The sequence below is a fragment of the Homo sapiens genome, chromosome 16 (genome assembly GCF_000001405.40).
Source record: "Homo sapiens chromosome 16, GRCh38.p14 Primary Assembly".
NCBI classification, from domain to species: Eukaryota; Metazoa; Chordata; class Mammalia; order Primates; family Hominidae; genus Homo; species Homo sapiens.
Genome location: NC_000016.10, coordinates 13,585,787 through 13,609,772, shown reverse-complemented (window position 1 = coordinate 13,609,772; position 23,986 = coordinate 13,585,787). Strand labels below are relative to the sequence as shown.

Below are 23,986 nucleotides of genomic sequence, written 5' to 3'. Positions count from 1 at the left end.
TCTGCTCCTGCTCACCTGTGTCCAGCATACACTGTTCACATACTTGGTACTATCAGTGCCAAGAGAAAACTTCCCCTTCACCCTCTGAAGGTTTGCTGAAAATCATGAATAAAAGGCAGATTAACGAGACAAAAGCACAAGTTTACTTTATCATAGTTTCACGTGACATGGGAGCCTTCAGAATGAAGACCCAAAGATACGGGGGAAATTATCCACTTTTTGTTCGTTTGTTTGTTTGTTTGTTTGAGATGGAGTCTCTCTCTGTCACCCAGGCTGGAGTGCAGTGCCACGATCTCGGCTCACTGCAACCTCCGCCTCCCAGGTTCAAGCGATTCTTTTGCCTCACCCTCCCGAGTAGCTGGGACTACAGGCATGCACCACCATGCCTGGCTAATTTTTGTATTTTTTTAGTAGAGACGGGGTTTCATCATATTAGCCAGCGTGGTCTCGAACTCCTGACCTCATGATCTGCCCGCCTCGGCCTTCCAAAGTGCTGGGATTACAGGCATGAGTCACTACGTCTGGCCTGAAGTTGCCCACTTTTATGCTTAGGTTCTGCAAAGGATAGACAGCTATTTAAAAATATGATTAAATAAAAAGACCATGATCAAATGTTCGTAGACTGGGTGGGGGAATCCAGCAAGGCCTCTCTGTCTAGATTCTTCTCAGCCTCTATGAATATGCATTTCTTCCTTCTAGGTGCAGGGCAGGGCTCTCTCTGAAATGGGGATCTTAAGACCCACAGTCAAACAAGGAATGTCAGGTAATTTATTCACGTCCAGTTCTTATAAACAAAGGAAAAATTCGAGTAATATTTTTATGTTTTATGACTGGCTTTGAAGAAAAGGGGTTCTGGTTTCTATGACTTGCCTTGGGGAAGAGGAATTCCCTCTTTATGGATAGACTCGGAGGAGAATGGGAAAGACGGACAGGAGGGCAGGAGAAGAGCAAAGAGAAATTTGTGCTTCTAAGGCCTTCCTTTTGGGGCACTGTTTCTGAGCTCCTACACTACACACCTCTATTATGTTGGCCTCCTACTTCCCAGAATTACTTCTTTGAGCCTTGGTTGTTTTCTTTTCTTTTCTTTACTTTTTTTTTTGAGATGGAGTTTTGCTCTTGTTGCCCAGGCTGGAGTGCAATGGCGTGATCTTGGCTCACTGCAACCTCCGCCTCCCGGGTTCGACCTCCCAAAGTGCTAGCTGGGATTACAGGCCAGAGCCAGCGCGCCTGGCTGATCCTAGCACTTTTACAAGCTCATGTCTTTCCTATAATTCCTCCCTTGGGATTTCCGAATGCGCAGTGCTTTCTGTACCCTTTGGAATTGAACATGCGCAATGTGTTTTGGGAGTTATACGCATGCCCATCTGAGACTTTCTTCCCTTTTCCAGTGGAGTGTATGGGAGATCGTACTTCGCCGTTTTTCTTTTTCTTTTTCTTTTTTTTTTTTTTTTTGAGACGGAGTCTCGCTCTGTGGCCCAGGCTGGAGGAAAGTGGCGGAATGTTAGCTCACTGCAACTTCCGCCTCCCGGGTTCAAGCAATTCTCCTGCCTCGGCCTCCCCAGTAGCTAGGATTACAGGTAGCGCGCACTACCACACTCAGCTAATTTTTGTATTTTTAGTAGAGACGGGTTTTCATCATGTTGGCCAGGCTGGTCTTGAACTCCTGACCTCGTGAACAGCCCGCCTCGGCCTCTCAAAGTGCTGGGATTACAGGCGTGAGCCACTGCACTCGGCCGATTTTAGGAGTTTTATAGGCTTCCTTCTTTCCTGTAATTCCTCCCTTAAAGTGGGCTTTCCGCATGCGCAGTGCTTTCTGTACGCTTTGGGATTGAACATGCGCAGTTGTGTTTTGGGAGTTATACGCATGCCCATCTGAGGCTTTCTTTCCTTTTCCGGTGCTGTATTTGTCTTTTTTTTTTTTTTTTGACGGAGTCTTGCTCTGGCCCAGTCTGGAGTACAGTGGCGGAATCTCAGCTCACTGCAACCTCCGCCTCCCGGGTTCAAGCAGTTCTCCTGCCTCAAGCGCGCGCCACTACAGCCAGCTAATTTTTGTAGTTTTAGTAGAGACGGGGTTTCATCATGTTGGCCAGGCTGGTCTTGAACTCAGGTGATCTGCCCGCCTCAGCCTCCCAAACAGCCAGGATTACAGGCGTGAGCCACCACGCCCCGCGGATCCTAGGACTTTTGTAAACTCGCCTCTTTCCCATAATTCCTCCCTTTGGGCGAGCTTTCCGCATGCGCAATGCTTTCTGTACGGTTTAGAATTGAACATGCGCAGTGTGTTTAGGGAGTTATACGCATGCCCAACTGAGGCTTTCTTCCTTTTCCGGTGGAGTATATGGGAGATCATACTAAGCAGTTTTTGTCTCTATGTTTTCTGAGACGGGGTCTTGCTCTGTGGTCCAGGCTGAAGTCCAGTGGCGGGATGGGGCGATGTCAGCTCACTGCAACCTCTGCCTCCCGGGTTCAAGCAATTCTGCCTCAGCCTCCCCAGTAGCTGGGATTACAGGCGCGCGCCACGACGCCAGGCTAATTTTTTGTATTTTTAGTAGAGACGGGGTTTCATCATATTGGCCAGGCTGGTCTTGAAATCCTGATCTCGTGTTCCGCCTGCCTCGTGATCCGCCCGCCTCGGAATACAGGCGTATTGGGAATACAGGCGTGAACCACCGCGCCCAACCGATCCTAGGACTTATATTAAGTTCGCCTCTTTGCGGTAGTTCCTCCCTTAACGGGGGCTTTCCGCATGCGCAGTGCTTTCTATACTCCTTTGGAACGGAGCATGCGCAGTGTGTTTAGGGAGTTACAGGCATGCCCGTATGAGGCATTCTTCCCTTTTCCAGTGGAGTGTATGGGAGATCATACTTCGACTTTCTTATTGCTCTTTTTTAGACGGGGTCTCATTCTGTATCCCAGGCTGGAGTATAGTGGCGGTATCTCGGCTCCCTGCAACCTCCGGCTCTCGGGTTCAAGCAATTCTCCTGCCTCAGCCTCCCCAGTAGCTGGGATTACAGTCACGCGCCACCACACAGTTAATTTTTGTATTTTTAGTAGAGACGGGGTTTCATCATGTTGGCCAGGCTGGTTTGAACTCCTGACCTCGTGATCCGCCTGCCTAAGCCTCCCAGAGTGCTGGGATTACAGGCGTTGAGCCACCACGTCGGCGGATCCTAGGACTTTTTTTTTTATAAGCTTGCCTCTTTCCTGTAATTCCTCCCTTAGCGTGGGGCTTCCACATGCGCAGTGCTTTCTGTATCCTTTGGAATTGAACATGCGCAGTGTGTTTAGGGAGTTATATGCATGCCCATCTGAGGCTTTCTTCCCTTCTCTGGTGGAGTGTATGGGAGATCATACTTCGCCATTTTCGTCTTTTTTTTTTTTTTTTTTTTCGGACGGAGCCTCTCTCTGTGGCCCAGGCTGGATTACAGTGACGGGATCTCAGCTTACTGCAACCTCTGCCTCCCGAGTTCAAGCAATTCTCCTGCCTCAGCCCCCCTAGTAGCTGGGATTACAGGCGTGCGCCACCACGCCAGGCTAATTTTTTGTGTTTTTGGTAGAGACGGGGGTTTCACCATGTTGGTAAGGCTAGTTTCGAACTCCCGAACTCAAGTGATCCTCCCGCCTTGGCCTCCCAAAGGCCATTTTTGTCTGTTAACACGCATGCCCAGGAAATTGCTTCTCCTTGGCGCCTGCGTTCAATTAAAATTTTAATGTTAACAGGTGTGGACCATCAGGAAATGGCGTCTTCCTCGCGCTGCTGAATTATTTTTAGAGAGGCAATGTGGTAATTGCCGAACCAACACCTGACATTTCCAATGGAGGGTCGGAGAGCCCTCTCCTGTCCTGCTCTCATGCCTAACTACCTTTAACAGTTTAACACTCTGCTGTCTCCATTTTCAAATTCTTAATAAATATTTAACAAGGAGCCCCCACGTTTCCATTTACTGCAAATTATTTAATTGGTCCTAGATACAAGGAAAGACACATTACAATGAAGCCAGTTGAAAATTGGAATTTCTTATGCCTGCGTATAGCACTTGATAGAATTACAAACCGTGTCTCCATAGATTAACTCGGTAGTATTTTACATGAACCTTGTGAAATGGATATTTTCATATCCAGCATTCAGATGAAGAAATTAGGCCTAGGAGCGCTTGAGTGACATTCCCAAGGAGCGCAAAACAAGCTGGTGGTAAAGCGTAGAGCCTTTTTCCTACAAGAAGTAATGGTTGGGTAATTTACAGATTCTTGGGTCCTTCTGAATTAGACCCTCCAAAAGAGAAACTCGGGAATTAGCATTTAAAATAAGCATCCCATGTGTTTTTCTTTTTTAATCATCAATGAAGTTTGGAAAATTTTGGTTTACAGTAATTACTAAACTCATTCGTTCCCAAGTTGACTGCAGAACTTCTTTAAAAATTCATATTTCAAGGCTTTGCTCTGAGATGCTGAATCTGCATCCCTAAGGCAAGGGAAACTTTTCAATCCATTGTGCAGGCCATCTGGATGTTCTTCCTGGGTTTGAAAGTACTGACATCGATGATTGATTTGGACTCTGGCCTGTGAATCACTCAGTGACAGCCATCTACCCCTATTCTTTCTGATCATAAAGACTTACAATTTGTCTCCGGGCAACTGGCCTCTGGATGGTCTCCTAAAAAAGACAAAGATAGAGTCCATATGCTCGTGGAAAAATTTATCATCCTAAAGATCAAGAAAAGGGTAGAAGCAGTGAGATCTGTTGATGCCCTTCTTTTCAGAATCTTATATTCTTTATGCTAACCCTTTCTACAAAGCTGGATGCAAGACAAGTAACTATTTCACTTTTTTTTTTTTTTTTGGGAGACATTCTCGCGATGTTGCCAGGCTGGAGTGCAGGGGTGCGATCTTGGCTTACTGCAACCTCCACCACCTGGGTTCAAGTGATTCTCCTGCCTCAGCCTCCCGAGTAGATGGGACTATAGCCACCACGCCCGGCTAATTTTTTGTATTTTTAGTAGAGACGGGGTTTCACCATGTTGGCCAGGATGGTCTTGAACTCCTGACCTCATGATCTGCCCCCGTCGGCCTCCCAAAGTGCTGGGATTACAGGCGCGAGCCACCTTACCCTGCCTCTATCTCACTTTTGAAGATCCCAAGTTGGCCAACTTTTACAGACAAAAGAGGGATCTAATTCCTTACGGTCTTCCAGGACTCCAGGGAAGGGGAATATAAGGAATTAACAGGGATGTTCTGAAACAGTCAGCTTCCCCAAAGGAAGGACAATAGGAAAGACTGAAGCAAATAGGACATAGAAAAGACAATAGCAAATGTCTGAAGGCAACCTATCTCCAACCTGGGGATCAGGTTAAAATGCAGATTCTGGCTTAGCAGGCCTGGAATGGGACCAAGATACTAAATTTCTAACATGCTTCCAGGGTGCTTAAGCTGCTGGTGCACAAATCACCCCTAGAAGAATGAGATCTTAAACCATTTCATCTTAAGATGACTGACAAGTCCCTGGCAGGGAATGGGGGGTAAAAAAAAAATCTCAAACATTCCTCTTGTCCAGATAATAAATTCCATGTCATTTGTAATATTAAAACACTATATAACCTTAATGCATAGTAGCCCATCCTGTTAGCACCTACACATACAGTCCTGATTAGCTGTGTGAATAACAACTACTGTTTATTTTAAAATATTCTTAACATGCATGGAAACAAAATGAAGCATCAAGAAAAACAATCCCTGCACTAATTCTTCATGATTCTTTGGTCTCATGGTCTGGAGTTTGGGGAACAAACATTTCAAAAGACAAAAGAAAATCTCCATGTATATATGGGAAGAAGTTGTGGGGAATAGGGAGAAAGACTCGAGGTAGAGGCTGAAGTGAAGTTTGCTCTCATAATTTATTTTTATCTAGACCGTCTGGTTAATTGTCTCTCAGATGGACATGCTTGGATCTAAGCCTGGAAAGAAGTCAGCTTTGAAGGTCCTGACTCCCAGGGTGATGGTAAGAATTATGCGGCTAGAGTAAGTAAAGTGCCTTAGCTTATTAATTCATTCTTTGAACATTCAACCAGTATTTACTGAGTGCCTATTACGTGCTAAGTAGTAGCACACAGCAAATAAGGCAGATGAAATTCTTGCCTTCATGGAACTTAAAGTCTAGCAGGGTAGACAGACATAAATCAATGAAACGGGTGAATGAGCAGGATAATGTGGGTGTAGTGGGCATCCTACTCAGAGCCTCTTGGTTGGTGTATTCTTCCCCCAGTTTTGCCCAACAGCTCACATTTATATCCTTGTGCAAAGGTGTGCCGTTGGACAATTGGGGTTGCCTCAAAGTTTTTGTCCTGGACTCCAGGCAGCCCTCAGTTGAGTGACTCACTGATGCAAGAATACAACAGACAAGCTCCCTTTCACAAGGCAGGACAGACTCTGTGGAGCCCTTTATGCGCCAGAGCTCCCAGAAGGAGAAAGGAGGCTGGACGTCATCTGAACTACATCTTTGCCTGGCTTTTCTCATGTCCTGTCCTACCTCCCTCAGCCCCTTATGGGTTTCTGTTGAGAGCATTCCCTTAGTAAGCCAATTAATTGCACAAGAATCCTCAGGCTCTACTTCTAGAGAATCCGATCTGAGATACAAAATAATTCCGGATAGTGATTAGGGATATAAGGAAATAAAACAAGGGAGGTGTGACTTCAGATGACCAGGGAAGAAGATCAGGGGTCAAGGATGACCATTTGAAGGAGGAGGCATTTGAGCTGAGAGCTGAATGAGATCTGAGTGGCAAGGGAGACCTGGGGGAGAAGCAATTCAGGCAGAGAGAATCGCTAGTATAGAGACCTCTGGAAGAAATGAACTGGGCATGTTTGAAGGCCTAGAAGACAGCCAGAGCATGAAGTGCAATAGATGATGGGAGGAGGGAAGGAGACATGGTCAGAGGGGCAGCAACAGTGCCCTACTTTGTGAGCTTGGGAAAGGATTTAGATTGCATTCCAAATGTGATAAGGAGCCGTTGTAAGGGGGTGAGACCTGACTGGGTTTTAATAAGGTCACTCTGGATGCTCTCTGGGGCATAGATTATAATTCATTGCCTGGAAATAATAGTTGCTAAATAAATAATAGCTCAATCAGCAGCTCAATTACCGCCTTTCAGAAGTGTCTCAGCAAAGATTCGTACATTAGGAAGTAAATTTGACATGACTGTCCAAGGGCTATTTGAAATAAATTACAGTTCCCTGATTCAGTGACCTCTCCTGCTAGTACTCCTGGTGCCACCTGACTCGTCTGCTAGGACTTTTTGTTATTATTGTGTTTCACTTTTTGGAAAAACTGAAAAGGCATAGATTTGAACACATCATTATTTCTTTGAAAGACTGTTTTGTTTTGTTGACTTTTAATATAGAAAGATGAGACAGTCTTTTGGAAACGGCATGCACCTGTCTTCTTAGAATGAGAGGCAGGAACCTACTACAGCAGAGAGTGTCTTTGAAAGTAGTAAAGTCCTGGCAGTGAGTGTGATAGATAAGGTCTTAGTATGGGTACTGGTGGTCTGAGTTCTAGTCTTGACTCTTACAGAACTGAGTGACTTTGGGGAAGTGATATGGTTTGTCTGTGTTCCCATCCAAATCTCAGCTTGAATTGTAATAATCCCCATGTGTCAAGGCTGGGGCCAGGTGGAGATAATTGAATCATGGGGGCAATTTTCCCCATACTGTTTTCACGGTAGTGAATAAGTCTCATGAAATCTGATGGTTTTATACATGAGAGTTCCCCTGCACAAGCTCTCTTGCCTGCTGCCATGTAAGACGTGACTCTGCTCCTCTTTTGCCTTGTGCCGTGATTGTGAGTCCTCCGCAGCCATGTGGAACTGTGAGTCCATTAAACCTCTTTCTTTTATAAATTACCCAGTCTCAGGTATGTCTTTATTGGCAGTGTGAAAATGGACTAATACAGGAAGTGACTTGTCCTCTCTGGGCGTTCATAGCTGTCCCATGATGTTTGTTTCTCTCATGGACACCTTGTTACACCACTGTCCAGAAATGGGCTTTCTGCTTTGTTTAGTCCATTTCACTTTCCCTCCTAGGTGATGTGATTGGTAGATTCTTCTGTGATTTAGCATCAACAGAATAATTTGCAAAGCACCAATATTTGACACAACCAAACTGTCATGTAGTATGAGCTTCCTTTTTGCCTCTTTAAGCAAGCATTCAGTTTCCAGGCAACTGGCTCATCCTTGCTCTCTAACAAAAGATTATTGTTTTAAACAACTTCTATGGTGTTTTCTAACTCCAAAAAGAACATATTTATATTATACAAAAAATTGTAAAATCCAAGCAAGCCAAACACTGGTAAAAATAATGGCTACTTATCAAGCACTTCCTATGTGCCAGAAACTGAATTAAGCATATACTTATATAATTTCATTCTCACCACAGTATTACAAGATAGAGACCAGCATTATCTTCATTTTAGAGAAAAGGAAACAGGTTGACTGGGGTCAAATAGCTTGCTTAATTAGGCAGCTATTAGGTAACGAAACTAAGTTGAATGCATGTTATCCTACCTTAAAACTTGAGCTCTTAACCACTCAAACAGCATCCCACCACTTGGATGAATTATCATGAATATTTGTTACATAGTCTGCTATATTTTGTGGTATATGCAGTATGCATATGCATAAATGTGATTTTGTCCAATTTCATTACCCATTGCATATATCTCATTTCCAACCCAAGGCACAGATATGTATGTATGTATGTATGATCTCACATACACACACGCACAGTGAGATATAAACACCATGAGGACAAGGACCATGGCTGTCTTATTCAACCTCATAACCCTAGCACCTAGAACAGAGCACAAAATGCAGCAAGCTCTCAATGGATATTTGTTGAATAAATGCACTTAATAAACAGAAGCTCAGTCAGCATCTTTTACCTATAAATATATAAATGTTTTGTCATCTGCTTCTTCCCATGAAGCACAAATACAACGTTCACCATTTTAGCAATACCTCATTTTTAATGGCTACACATATTATAAAAGGTTATTTTTGGCTGGGCGTGGTGGCTCACGCCTGTAATCCCAGCACTTTGGGAGGCTGAGGTGGGCAGATCACAAGGTCAGGAGATCGAGACCATCCTGGCTAACATGGTGAAACCTCATCTCTACTAAAAATACAAAAAAATTAGCCGGGCATGGTGGTGGGTGCCTGTAGTCCCAGCTACTCGGGAGGCTGAGGCAGGAGAATGGCGTGAACCCAGGAGGCAGAGCTTGCAGTGAGCCAAGATCGTGCCACTGCCCTCCAGCCTGGGCGACAGAGCGAGACTCCATCCCCGCCCCCCAAAAAAAGGATATTTTCAGTCTTTGCTTTTTATTACACCCTGAGAGCTATCTTGAAACAATCTTTCCCTGGCTTCAGTAATGCTACTCTTTGATGGTTTTTCTGTGATCTTTCTAGTTACTTCAGTATCTTTTGCTGCCTTATCTTTCACCTTCCTCTCCAGCACTCCTATGCTGAAGTTTCTCAGGGCTTGGACCTGGGCACTTGTACACCCCACCCGCCTTCACTTCCTGGGTAAGACCATACGCACCTTCGTCTTCAGTCAAGACCCTACTGTCTGTATAATAGGCGCTCCATACCCATTATATAATTTGGATATATAAATTGCATCTCTCACTTACTCTTCACAATAGTGCTTTGAGGTAGGCACCATCAAACTTGGAAGCATAGAGAGGCTGCATGACTTTGCCAAAGTTACACAGCTGTGAAACAGAAGGGCTGGGATTTAAAGTCAAATATGTCTTATGAACAAAACAGAAGCTCTTTCCTCTATATTCTTCAGAGCGCCGAACACAGAACATCTCTTGCTTCTTAATCACTGGTAGTGGAAGCAGTAAATCCTACTTTTTAATCCCCAGGGACTATTTTTGTGAGCTATTTCTTCTGACTAAATATATTCTCTCTCATATTCTCCATTTCCCATCCTCTTTTCCCTTTCCTTCTAAGTCTTTCTCTTCCTTTTGTTTTTGCTTTTGCATCCCCAAACCTGACAATTAGAGATTGCCACTCAAACAGAATTTAGGTTTTCATGGAAATAGCATCTATGTTATAACTGAGTTTTGGCTGTCCAGCAAGACCCTGAACTTAAGCCAGTCAAATTGTTGTAGAACATTCTCAGCTAAAACCGGGTTATTGTCACATAACAACATATGACAGATTAAGAAGGAAATATATATATGATATATTATGATATATATGTGTATATACACATATATACATATATGATATATTATGATATATATGTATATATACATATATACACATATGATATATTATGATATATATGTATATATACACATATATACATATATGATATATGATACATATATGATAAATACATATTAAGATATACATGTGTATATATATCTTTTTAGAGATGGGGTCTCACTATGTTGCCCAGGCTGGTCTTGAACTCCTGGGCTCAAGTAATCCTCCCATCTTGGCCTCCCCAAGTTCTGGGACTACAGGCGTGAGCCACTGTGCTTGGCCTGGAAATAAAAATATTTTAATGCCAAATATGTTTTCTTGGCCATATCTTGCAACAGTCCTGCAAAGCTGACTGGTGGGGGCCGGAGGGGGGTGGATGGTGAAATCTACATTCTATGAGAATCCCCCTCCTTTTCTTTCCTTTTGCTGATCCAGGAGAGAATCTACTCTGATAAGAAACATTTGCAGGCTATTCTCTCTGAAGCCTGCTACCTGGAGGTTTCACCTGCATGATGAAACCTTGGTCTCCACAGCCCCTTATCATAACCCAGACATTCCTTTCTATTGATTGTAGGTCTTTAGATAATTATTTAACACTTTCACCCAATTGTCAATTAGAAAATCTTTAAATCTACCTACGACCGGGAAGCTCCCCACTTCCAGTTGTTCCATCTTTCCGGACGGAACCAATGTACATCTTCCATGTGATGATTGATTCCTTCTGTCTCCCTAAAATGTGTAAAGCCAAGCTGTATCCTGACCACCTTGGGCACAGGTTCTCAGGATCTCCTGAGGGCTGTGTCATGGGGCATTGGTCACTCACATTTGGCTCAGAAAAAAATCCCTTCAAACGATTTTATAGAGTTGGACTCTTTTTGTCAACAGTGGCAATTGCAAATTTTGAATTTTAAAGGTCGGTCTCACTGTAAAGGTGACATCTGAGTAATGCTCTGAAGGGGGCAAGGACATGGTCCACATGATTCCCCGGAGGAAAAGCATTTTGGAAAATAACAACCAATGATAACAACAGCAAGGTAGCCAGTAGAAATTTAAGTCAGAGATGGGATGGGGAGGAGGGCAGATTATTAGACACTGGGAGGTTGGTTCGGCTTTTCATCTGAATGCAATGAGGATCATAGGAAGGGTATGAGCAGAGACATCATGACTTACATTTCACAGGATCACCTGGCTGCTGTATAGATATCACACTTGAGAGGAGCACGGACAGAAGCCAGGAGTCCAGGGTGGAGGCTATTTTTCAAATCCAGGTGATGGATTGTGGTGATGTAGACCAAGGATGGAGAAGACCATGGATTCTGAATGCATTGTGAAGAAAGAACCAACAGGATCTACTGAAGAAGTGATTTGAGATATGACAGAAAGAGAGGAGCCAAGCATGCCTCCAATTTTGGCTGGAGAAATGGAAGAATGCTGTCAGCACTTAGCGAGACTGGCAACGAATAGATTTGGAGGTGCATGATTAAAAGTTTAGTTTTGGAAGACAAATTTTAAGTGTCCATTAGACATCAAGGACAGATGTTGAGCAGGCAGCTGACTATTTGGGTCAGAAGTGCAGGAGGGAATTCTAGGCTGGTGATAAAATCTGGGAGTTGTTAACTTCAAGATGATGTTTAAGGACATGAGGATGAGTGAACAAGGAAGTGAATATAGACTCAAAAGAGAAGTGCAAGAACAGAGCCCTGGGACCTTCCAAAGGTGGCAAGAAAATCGAGCGTGTGGTCCATGTGAAAAGGTGAGCAGGAAACAATATACCAGGCAGGGAGACCAGCACGTGAAAAGGCCCTGAAGTGGGGAAGAGCATGGTGTAAATCAAGTTTGTAAACCGATGGCTGGCAAGCTTCATCTGGCCCACTAACGTGTTTTGTTTGACTCTATAGGATTTTTTTCTAATAGAATTAGTTGTCAGTATTTGAAAATTGAGGCCAGGTGCGGTGGCTCACACCTGTAATCCCAGCACTTTGGGAGGCTGAGGCAGGCAGATCACCTGAAGTCAGGAGTTCAGGACTAGCCTGGCCAACATGGTGAAACCCTGTCTCTACTGAAAATACAAAAAATTAGCCGGGCATGGTGGCAGGCATCTGCAGTCTCAGCTACTTGGGAGGCTGAGGCAGGAGAATTGCTTGAACCTGGGAGATGGAGGTTACAGTGAGCTAAGATCACGCCACTGCACTCCGGCCTGGGCGACAGAGCAAGACAACATTTTTAAAATTTCAGATATCTTCTCTCTGTCTCTCTCTCTCTCTGTCTCAGACAGGGTCTTGCTCCGTTGCCCAGGCTAGAGTTCAGTGGCATGATCATAACTCACTGAAGCCTTGAACTGCTGTGCTCAAGTGATTCTTCTGTATCGGCCTCCCGAGGAGCTGGGACTGCAAGAATATGCCACCATGCTTGTTTTTTTTTTTTTTTTTTTTTTAGATACGGGGTCTCCCTATGTTGCTCAGGCTGGTCTCAAACTTGTAGGCCAAAGAGATCCTCCTGCCTTGGCTTCCCAAAGTGCTGGGATTATAGGTGTGAGTCACTGTGCGCAGCCTTTTTCTCTGAAATAATCAGTATAATATCTGACAATGCTGGGCTCACATTATTCACAGAGCTATGATTGGCCATTGCTAAGTAGCTCCTGCCATTTAGAAAGCATCTTGTGGTTTGCTGCAGGAGTCTTCCCAGTCCGTCTTATTGATGTGTAGTATCAGTTGAAAAAACTATGTCCCAAAGCCTACACATCGGAACTTCTATCTGTATGTGCCCCTCCTCGGGCCACCCAAGGACAAGATGTTGGTAAAAATGACATGATAAAGGCACCCTGTAACCTGGGTGTCAGGAGGCCTGGGGTCATGTGCTGGTTCTGTGAATTACCGTGCAGCCTTGAATTAGTTCTATAGTTAAGATGACCAGCTGCCCTGGCTGGCTTAGGACTTTGGGGTTTCCCAGGAAACGGGATTTTCTGGAAAATATCTAAAACGAAAACAGAGAAGGACCCAGACAAACAGACGAGCTGATCACCCACACTGTCCTCTCTCAGCTTTACACCCACCCAATCCTTAGTTTCTCAAAGTTTTAATGCCAGGCATCAAAACTCCTTGTGTCTTCCCTGAAAACACTGCTGACATGCTCTTTAAAACTGGTTGAAGATGAAACTCGCAATAGAAAATCAAGACTAAAATCTGAAATCAAGACTTGACAGCAATGAAAATGTATAGACAGACTCTGATGATCCTGGTATTATTATTATAGTTATAATAATGATAGATAAGATTAGTTGAACCTTTCCTACATGCCAGACGCTAAACTAAGCATTTTGCATGAATTATCTCACCTAACGCTCAGATTGGCCCCATGAGGTAGTGTTTCATCAGCTTGGGCTGCGGTAATGAAATATTATTAACTAGGTGGCTTATAAACAACAGAAGTTTATTTCTTACTGTTCTGGAGGTTGGAAGTCCGGTATCAGGGTGCCAGCATGGTTGAGCTCTGGTGGAGGCTGTCTTCTGGGTTGTGGACCACTGACCTCTCCCTGTGTCCTCACATGGCAGAGAGCAGAGAGAAGACGCAAGTTCTCTTTTGACTCTTATAAGGCACAAATCCCATTTGTCGAGGCCCCACCCTCATGATCTCATCTACTTCTAATTACCTCCCAAAGGTCCCACCTCCTAGTACCATCACATCACGGGTAGGATTTGATGGGAGAGACACTAACATTCACTCCATAAGAGCTGGCAACTATTGTTATCCCCCACAGCGGTGAAGTTGGGTCTAGTTGTGAAAGGTTCTAAAGACAGAGTCAGGATTCAAACCCAGGTCTGTATGTCTACAAACAGTGTCAGCTCTGTTTTTGCCATTCTGAATTGCTCCTCCCTTGACCAGGTGCGGTGGCTCATGCCTGTAATCTCAGCACTTTGGGTGGCTAAGGTAGGCGGATTGCTTGAGCTCAGGAGTTTGAGCCCAGCCTGGGCAACATGGTAAAACCCCGTCTCTACAAAAAAGTACAAAAACTTAGCCGGGTGTCATGGCACACACCTGTAGTCCCAGCTTCTTGGGAGGCTGAGGTGGGAGGATGGCTTGAATCCAGAAGGCAGAGATTGCAGTGAGCCGAGATCCTGTCGCTGCACTCCAGCCTGGGCGACAGAGCCAGACCTTGTCTCATTCAATCAATCAATAAATGTGTTGCTCCTCTCCTATGAGTGTCGAAAATCCAAACATATTTGTTTTTGTGGCTGATAATTGCTTGGATTGATTGCCTGATGAACACAGTACTTAGTCCCCAAATCCCCCAGGTCCAAATTCCCTCACAAAGACCTTTCTGTGTCTGAGAAGTCAGGGCCCAGCCAGCCCAGATGACAAGCCACCTCATTCTACTGCATTCTAGTTAACTTGTGTTATCATGAGTGGCTTAATATCCTGGCAACAGTAACCCTGGCTTTTCTTATTTTCCCTTTGTCTTCTGAAATTTGCAACCAAATGAGAAGCTGTTGGGGCTTATTATCCAACCTCCCCTCAGCTACAAAGAAGAGACAGGGATCAGAGTGAGCCCACGTGATGGCAGCTACTCCCTTTAACCGGATGCAGATTTAAAGAGGCCTCTGTGTGACACAGGCAATGAGAGCCTGGTGTTTTCTGTTGGGCCTATGCAATGTGCTTCCCTTCTCCCGTGGTCCTTCAGTCCAGGAGAAGGAAACTGCTTCCTGCTCCCTGAAACTTGAGCTATGAAGTAGTTCCAATGATGCTGAGTCCAGGGATCAGCTTCTGAGCTATTTTGTGGGAGTCATTTGACAACTTACACAGAAGCCAAAGTCATGTGCAAGCCTAACCAGAGATGCAGAGGCTTAAGAGTCCATCCTCGTTTTTGGGATTCTGACATCCCTGGAGACCCAGGAACTCTGATTCAAACCCCTCTAGTGAAAAATGTGCCCTGGATGGTTTCTACCTATTGGTGCTATCTGGATGCACCTCTCATTTACCCTTGGCCTTGGGTCTTTGAAGCAGGCCCATGCCTGGCTCCAAATTTTCCTTCCATCACTTGATTCTCATTCACGCATCAAGAAATGTCACGTTTTCAGGGAAGCCATTCCCAATTCTTACACTATGTGAAATCCTTTTCTTGCAGGATAACACACTATAATTACTTCTTAATACCCTTCCCAAATGTAATTTGTTTAATGTCTCTCTCTTAGTAGCCTAGAAAATTCTATCAAAGAATACTTTTCAAAAAGTGAAAACCATGACTCCTGTGCAAATATAAATTGAACACATGCCAAGATTTTATTTCACTCTTTAATGAAAGAATCAGTACAATGGTAAAACTTGCTCAAAGAGCAGTTCGAAGAACTGGGTATTTATAGGCATTTTGTAAAGAAGAACTTTAGGACAAGATTGCTAGGTTAGATACAAAACTGGGCAATGTCCTACAGAGAAATAAAAGTGTACCTGTAGAGCCGTCTTTTCTACTTCATAGGAATTTACAAGAAGAAACATAACTTCATAGTATTTGGTTTCTAATGATAGACTAAATAGCAAAGCCAATGCAGATACTTTTTCTAAGAGAATTAAATAATCCTCGAGTGAACAGGCCTATTAGGCAATGGCCTGGCATGATATCGAGCGTCATGCTGTGTTTTTTGGCCTTATTTCTAAATTTTGCATTTTTTTTTTTTTTTTGAGACAGAGTTTCACTCTTGTTGCCCAGGCCGGAGTGCACTGGTGCGAGCTCGGCTCACCACAACCTCCACCTCCCGGGTTCAAGCCATTCTCCTGCCTCAGCCTCCCTAGTAGCTGGGATTAAAGGCGCATGCCACCACGCCTGCCTTATTTTGTATTTTTGGTAGAGACGGGGTTTCTCCATGTTGGTCAGACTGGTCTCGAACTCCCGACCTCAGGTGATCCGTCCGCCTCGGCCTCCCAAAGTGCTGGGATTACAGGCGTGAGCCACTGCCCCTGGCCAATTTTGGATAATTTTTTTTTTTTATAGCTCATATTGTTCCAGGTAGATGGGCAGAGGGGTTCTCCCCACACTCACTAGGAGTGTCAGGTCATGGTTCGATGATGATCACACCGCCTGTCTAAAAATGATAATTCAGAAGCCCACTGAGGGTGCCAGGGAAAGGCCATTTCCTGATGATCCACAGCTATTAACATTAAAGTGTTAATTGAACGCAGATGCTGGGGAGGAAAACATCCGGGACATACACACTAAGAGAGAAAATGGTGAACTATGACCTTCCAGTGACGCTCCACCAGAAAAAGAGAACTTCAGATGGGCATATGTACAACTTCCTAAACACACTGCATGTGCTCAGTTCCTGAGGGTAAGGAGGACACTGTGCAGGAGGGAAGCCCACCCTCAGGAAAGAATCATGGGAAAGAGGCGAGCTTATGAAGTCCGAGTATCAAGGGTAGACATGCTTCTTTTCTGTTTAACCTTCATGTGCCCGCTTGGGTCTCTTCCAAGTGCACCTTCCTTTCTTTCTTGTTCTAAAGCCTTTTTAAATACACTTCTATTCCTGCTCTGAAACTTGCCTCGGTCTCTTTTTCTGCTTTATGTCCCTCAGTTGAATTCTTTCTTCTGAGGATGGACGGACTGAAGTTGCTGCACATCCGCATGGATATGCTGCTGGTAACTCAGGGTAACTTGGATCTCGTCCACCACTAATCACGTGGTCAGCGTCTTTTCTAAGATGTGGCTCTAGCATCTGACCCGGTGCTTGGCATAGAACTTTTGCTATGGTCAGGATCTGGTAGAGAAGTTGTCAACTAGTTACTGAAATCAAAGAATACTATGAAGCAAATGAACTTGAAGCCCATTTTTTTTTTATATTGAATTGAATGGATCAGGTGTGAGTCAGGTTTATTTTCTTTTATGTATGACATACCGTTAAGATCTCCCCCTTTGAACTTTGTTTTCTCCTTATACCAATACATGGTGCTGTTTTCAACACCTCTCCATCTCTCCAAAACCAAGTGGGTTTCCTGCAATGCAGTTCACTTCTGACACTAACCTCCTGGCATCAGTGTCAGACTCCACGTGGAGTGGAGGTTTCAGGGCGTGGTCCCAGAAACTGCCCCTACTTCAGACACCAGTTGCAAGTATCAGGACTCCAGTTACACACACTTCTGTCCAACTACAAATTCAGAGGTTCCCTCAACCCCTCATCGGGTTTGAAAATTTGCTAGAACAACTCACACAAAGTAAGACAATATTTTACTTACTATTGCCAGTTTATTATAAAAGATACAACTTGCTGGGTGCAGTGACTCATGCCTGTAATCCCAGCACTTTGGATGGCCGAGGGGGGCGGATCACGAGGTCAGGAGATCGAGACCATCCTGGCTAACATGGTGAAACCCCATCTCTACTAAAAAAAAAAAAAAAAAATTTGCTGGGTGTTGTGATGTGTGCCTGTAGTCCCAGCTACTCAGGAGGCTAAGGCAGGATAATCACTTGAACCTGGGAGGCAGAGGTATAGTGAGCCGAGATCGCACCACTGCACTCCAGCTTGGGCAACAGAGTAAGATTCCATCTCAAAAAAAAAAAAAAAAAAAAAAAAAAAGATACAATGCAGGAACAGACAAATGGAAGAGATGCATAGGACAGGGTATGCAGGCGGGGGCACAGAGCCTCCACACTCTCCCCAGGTGTGCCACCCGCCCAGCACCTGAATGTGTTACCCATCAAGAAGCTCTCCAATGGTGGAGCGCGGTGGCTCACGCCTGTAATCCCAGCACTTTGGGAGGCTGAGGAGAGGGGATCACCTGAAGTCAGGAGTTCAAGACCAGCCTGGCACACATGGCAAAACCCCATCTCTACTAAAAATACAAAATTAGCCGGACATGGTGGTGCACACATGTAATCCTAGCTACTCAGGAGGCTGATGCAGGAGAATCACTTGAACCCGGGAGGTGGAGGTTGCAGTCAGCCAAGATCAGACCACGGCACTCCAGCCTGTGTGACAGAACAAGACTCCGTCTCAAAAAAAAAAAAAAGGAAAAGAAAAAAAAAAGAAGCTGTCCGAACCTTGCGGTTGAAGAGTTCTAGTGGAGGTCTCCTTATGTAGGCATGATGATTAAATCATTGGCCATCGGGGATTAATTCAATGTCAGTGCCTCTCCCCTCCCTGGGAGTTGGAGCCTGAGGCTGAACGTTCCAAACTTCCAATTATTAAGGTTGGTGCAGGAGTAATAGCTATTTTCGCCAATAAAAGTAATGGACTAGCCTCGCCCTAAAGCTGTCTGGGAACTCATCAATAGTCTCCTCGTTGGAAGCAAAGATGCTACTATCATCAACCTAAAAGGGTTTTAGGAGCTCTGTGCCACAGAGCTTGTTCATGATAAACTTTGGAGGCTTCACCATTAAACTGGTGCCTACTCCCTCACTAGTAGTGCTCTGTCTTCTGGATACACTATAGTTTAATGCTGTAGAAATCAGCATTAAACAATGCAGTAAAGCTTTTCTCTTCTTATTTGTGACCTCGTAGTTTCTATTGGTATGGCCGACTAAGATAGTATAACAAATATTTGTCATTTTTATCTACTCAATGACCATTGTTCCTTCTCCTGGCAGCAAATGCTGCATTTTCCTCTGGGGAACCACATCTCCTCTATTTTCAGTCCATATGATTCAGGAAGGTGGTTTTTGTTTTGTTTTGTTTTGTTTTGTTTTTGATGGACTCTCGCTCTGTCACCAGGCTGGAGTGCAGTGGTGCAATCTCGGCTCACTGCAACTTCTGCTTCCTGGGTTCAAGCGATTCTCGTGCCTCAGGCTCCCGAGTAGCTGGCATTACAGGCACGCGCCACCACACCCAGCTGATTTTTGTGTTTTTAGTAGAGACGTGGTTTCACCATGTTGGCCAGGATAGACCTCATGACCTGCCCGTCTCGGACTCCCAAAGTGTTGGGATTACATGACTGAGGCACCGAGCCCAGCCCCAGGAGGGTTATATTCCATTCTCACCTTCAGCAGTAGCCAAGAATTCAGGCAAAGATTATCACAGCACAATATCCCCAAAGACTCCTAGATTTAGGGTTGGGCATGTGATTTGACTTGGGCCTATCAAAGCCTTGCGTAGGACTTTTGCTGGTGCTACCAAGAAACAGCTTTTGTTCTTTCGTATAGGGATACTCTGCTTTTAATAACGTAAATCTGAAGGGTTTGGTGGCCACCTTTGCTGTCTAGTGGCTTGAGAATGAGGCTATTGAATGCTGGCTCCTCAAAACAACCTGCTGATAAGACAACGTTGAGTTGAGTTTTACCACGAGAAGAAAGAGCACTATCTTGATAGAGTTGTAGTAGCATCTCAGAGGAGGAAGGACAAAATAGATATATTTATTGAGATTTTGGAGTCTGATGTAAGGTGGGACTTTGATGTAATGACTTAGAATTGGTAAGGATTGCAATATAATAGTTAAGGATTGGTACACACAGGGAAATGAGAGATGTGAGATGAGCAATTCTAAGACTCTTGGCTATAAATTATTGTTTAATGCTGTCAGTTGGAGAATTGATAGGTCTTTCATAAAGTTCCTTGAATGAACAATAAAGCTGTTTGCAACTTTGATCTTGCTGGGCAAGAGTTTCCTGGAACAGTAAAATTATGTTGATGAAAACAGTAGAATAGTAAGTTCATGTTAAGGTAGGCAGTAAGCTGTAAGTGTAGATAACTTTAGTACTTAAAGTCAATATAGTGGAAAGCAGACAGAAGAAAGAAATAGACTCCTGTTGGCATCATTTGAATTTCTGAATCCAGACTTACTGTAGCCAGAATGAGGGAGACTGAATCACTCCTTCTCTAGTACACAAAGTGTATTAGAATTACACATTGGTCGGGAATAGTGGCTGTAAGCCCAGCACTTTGGGAGGCCATAAGCCCAGCACTTTGGGAGGCCTGTAAGCCCAGCACTTTGGGAGGCCGAGGCGGGCGGATCACCTGGGGTCAGGAGTTCAAGACCAGCCTGGCCAACATGGTGAAACCCTGTCTCTACTAAAAACACAAAAATTAGTCAGGCATGGTGATGGGCGACTGTAACCCCAGCTACTTGGGAGGCTGAGGCAGGAGAATTGCTTGAACCCGGGAGGTGGAGGTTGCACTGAGCCAAGATCGTGCTGCTGCACTCCAGCCTGGGCAACCAGCACGAAACCCTGTCTCAGAAAAAAAGAATTACATATTGGTCGGGCATGGTGGCTCACGCCTAGCACTTTGCGAAGCTGAGGCAGGCAGATCACCTGAGGTCGGAGTTCAAGACCAGCCTGGCCAATATGGTAAAGCCCTGTCTCTACTAAAAATGCAAAAAAATTAGTCAGACATGGTAGCATGTGCCTGTAGTCCCGGCTACTTGGGAGGCTGAGACAGAAGAATGGCTTGAATTCAGGAGGCAGAGGCTGCAGTGAGCTGAGATCACACCACTGCACTCCAGCCTGGGCAATAGAGTGAGACTCCATCTTAAAAAAAAAAAAAAAAAAAGGAATTACACATCTGTGATCTTTTCCATGCAACCACAATACCTCCTAATAAATAGGATGGATTTTAATTCTGAACTCCACTGATGTGGTCCCAGTCACAAGATTCGTTGTGGCCAACAGGATGTGAGCAGTAGTGAGGTTTGCTAGTTCCAAGCAGAGAACCTAAAGCATTTACATTTCCATTTGCCCTTTTATCTCCTGTGATTAGCCATGAAATGACCCTACCCAAGTTGCCACTGTCTCTCTGGATGGGAGCCAGACTGAAGACCCAGGGAGCACTCAGAAGCAACCAGAAGTCCTGAGTCCAGCTTGGTCCAGCCAAGCCAAGGTGCCCCATGGACCCAAATGTTTGTTCTTGAGAGCCACTGAGATTTGGAGGTTGGTTGATACATATTAAAACATGACTAATATTTAGAGTTCACTACTGGTCTTTTTAGGTATATGATCCAATAAGTTCTCCATATTACTTTAATCAATTTGATTTGGATTTCTCTCATTTATTAACTGAAAGAGTTTTCTCTATTGGTGTCTTTTTATGGCATTGTATTGCTTTTGGCTCGCACAAGCCTCCAACACATCCCAGGTCTTTCTCATGGGAACCACAGCCAAGCCAGATCTTCTCCATTCTCTACTTGAGCAATTGATTTTTAAAAAGGTAATATTTATCCTGGTTAATGCTCATCTTTTGGCTTGTGCCCAATGTTTCAGTCTAGTGAGATCTTTCTGAATTAGATTCCTTCATTTTGAATATTAGCTGTTCCATTCCGAATTTTGTCAAATACAGATTGGATCAGCATGACCACTAGAGCCTCCACCAAGCCCTTAATTGATATAATGATCCTGTGGCATCACACTAAAGACTCACTTCCAGGCTGACCCCCAAGAACACAAATTATCATTACTCAGGCAGATGTTCTAGATGAAGGCCCACAAGACAAATATCTTTCAGTCCACGTTTTGCCATCATAATGATCTCAGATAAATCAAGAGATATTATAAAGGAGTGGCCTGAAGCTAACTATGTCCTAATAATGTTTTCTAAATTTTTCAGCAAAGGGGCAATCCACTTTTCAAGTCAGTAGGAGGGAATTAGTATCTGTCCTGCCAAAAACAAACAAACAAAAGACAAGACACCTGCCCAGTTCTTGAGTTCTAGGTCTGCACATAATGTCAACCATTGACCTTAAGTGAGTCACTTACAGATCTCCTCCAGATCTGTAAAGACTTCTTCAAACCCAAAGAGAAAGGCAGTTGTAAGCTTTTATTCCATGCACCTTTGCTTCCTAGATTGATTCTGCACATTTTAAAAACTGGGGGAACAAACTTCATATCAAAATTTCTGTAATACACTCATTAACCTATGGATTATTTCATTGCATTGCAATTTTCTATTCAGTTGTATATTTGCTCTACTTGTCCCTGGGCTTTTTGAGAGCAAGGATTAAGTTGATGTTGTCATCAAAACACCTGACATTGTTTCTGACACATAGTAGGTACTCAGTACGTATTTGTTTGGTTGAATTAATAGAACTCATTCTGAAGCCATGGTATGTGTGTGTGTGTGTGTGTGTGTTTATGTGTGTGTGTTTTGTTGGAACAGCTAGTTCATCATTAGCCTGAAGCATTGGCTAATGTTAAATTTAAATTAAAATATGCTCTTGGGTGACTACATCTTCAATTTCATGGTTGATTCCTTTGTGATTGACTTGTTAAACTAAACAAGGAGTTGCAAACTAAAATACCTGGAGGGGCCAGGAAGGAAACAGAATAAATAAGTATGGCTAGGCAAAACTGGAAAATACTCAGCAGTTTCTCAGGAATGGATACTCTGCATTGCTAGATCTACTTTTTCAGAATTAAAAAAAATATATGATTTTAAAATGTGCTTTTAAAAATGTAAATATTCATGATTTTTAGATTTTTGTTTAGAGTTTTGAAACTCTGAAACATAATTTGTAAAACAGTATGTGGGCCAAATAAAATATACTCAGGCTAGATCCAACTCACAGGCCATCAATGCAAGAAAGAGAGCTCAATTTGTCACACGCAAAATGATATTTTAGTTTCCAATGAACATTTAATTTACAATGAACAACCTTGAGTAATATGAAATACCATGTTTATTGTTGAACAGTACAAGCTTAATTACATGGCTAGAGCAAGACTCTGTCTCAAAAACAAAACAGAACAAAACAAAAAACCTGAATGTAAGTATGGTGCAAAATTGAGGTGCCCTGGAAGTATTTGGGAAAAGTGCTATGGGAGCCAGAGAAAGAGGGATGAGCTTCTTCTTGGACAGTCAAATAAGGCCTTACAGGGGATGTGCCTTTGGGGCTTTGGATGATGACTTAGTATTCCCCAGAGAGGAAAGAAGGGAGGGACATTCCCAGCCCATAAAAGTGGGCGAAGGTTATGCACCTTTTGCATATGTGCTTTCCTCTGCTTGGCATGTCCTTTATCCTAAGTAAAATAACTCAGAAACAGCAAATCAAATACTACATGTTCTGACTTATAAGGGGAAGCTAAATAATGAGTACACATGGATACAAAGATGAAAATAACAGACACTGAGGACTCCAAAAGTGGGGAGGGTGGGAGTTGGCAAGGGTTGAAAAATTACCTACTGGGCACAATGTGTACTATTTGTGTGATGGTTTCAATAGAAATCCAAACCTCACCATTATGCAGTATACCCACGTAACAAACCTGCACTTGTACACCCATCAATCTAAAATAAAAATAAAATAATATAAAATTAAAATAAAATATAAGAACAAAATAAAATAATCTAAAATAAAAAATAAAATAGAAAATTAACAAAAGGTGCATAAATATGACAGAGAGTAGTATGTTTGAAATAGGGTAAGGTTAGAAGTGTTGGAGTGGCAGGTACATTGGGGAGAGAGTCAGGGAATTGGGAATAAGATGGGGACCTAGATTAAAGCTCAATTTGGAAACTTGCTAGGATAAAGAAATGGACCTCATTAACTGAGTGGCAGAGAATCCCAGAAAGCTACTAAGGGTGACATGGTCAGATCTGGGCTTCAGAGAAACCACATGGACATTGGTGGAGGCAGGAGAGGCAGGTGTGTATGCTCTTTCCTCTGCCTGCAATGTCCTTAGTGAAATAACTCACAAATAGCACATCAAATACTGCATGTTCTCTCTTATAAGTGGAAGCTAAACAAGGGACACCCGTGGACACAAAGACAGAAATAATAGACCCTGGGGGCTCCAAAAGTGGGAGAGTAGG

The 23,986-nt window shown here is 43.7% G+C and overlaps 4 annotated features.

The window, feature by feature from the left end:
• Positions 694–1,193: an enhancer, noted in NCBI's record as "H3K4me1 hESC enhancer chr16:13702437-13702936 (GRCh37/hg19 assembly coordinates)". NCBI's record gives its function as "activates a minimal SCP1, AML or CMV promoter by ChIP-STARR-seq in primed H9 embryonic stem cells {active_cell/tissue: H9 hESC(primed)}" and the evidence as "EXISTENCE:reporter gene assay evidence [ECO:0000049][PMID:30033119]".
• Positions 1,194–1,695: an enhancer, noted in NCBI's record as "H3K4me1 hESC enhancer chr16:13701935-13702436 (GRCh37/hg19 assembly coordinates)". NCBI's record gives its function as "activates a minimal SCP1, AML or CMV promoter by ChIP-STARR-seq in primed H9 embryonic stem cells {active_cell/tissue: H9 hESC(primed)}" and the evidence as "EXISTENCE:reporter gene assay evidence [ECO:0000049][PMID:30033119]".
• Positions 3,094–3,593: an enhancer, noted in NCBI's record as "H3K27ac hESC enhancer chr16:13700037-13700536 (GRCh37/hg19 assembly coordinates)". NCBI's record gives its function as "activates a minimal SCP1, AML or CMV promoter by ChIP-STARR-seq in primed H9 embryonic stem cells {active_cell/tissue: H9 hESC(primed)}" and the evidence as "EXISTENCE:reporter gene assay evidence [ECO:0000049][PMID:30033119]".
• Positions 13,679–14,612: an enhancer, noted in NCBI's record as "OCT4-NANOG-H3K27ac-H3K4me1 hESC enhancer chr16:13689018-13689951 (GRCh37/hg19 assembly coordinates)". NCBI's record gives its function as "activates a minimal SCP1, AML or CMV promoter by ChIP-STARR-seq in naive H9 embryonic stem cells {active_cell/tissue: H9 hESC(naive)}" and the evidence as "EXISTENCE:reporter gene assay evidence [ECO:0000049][PMID:30033119]".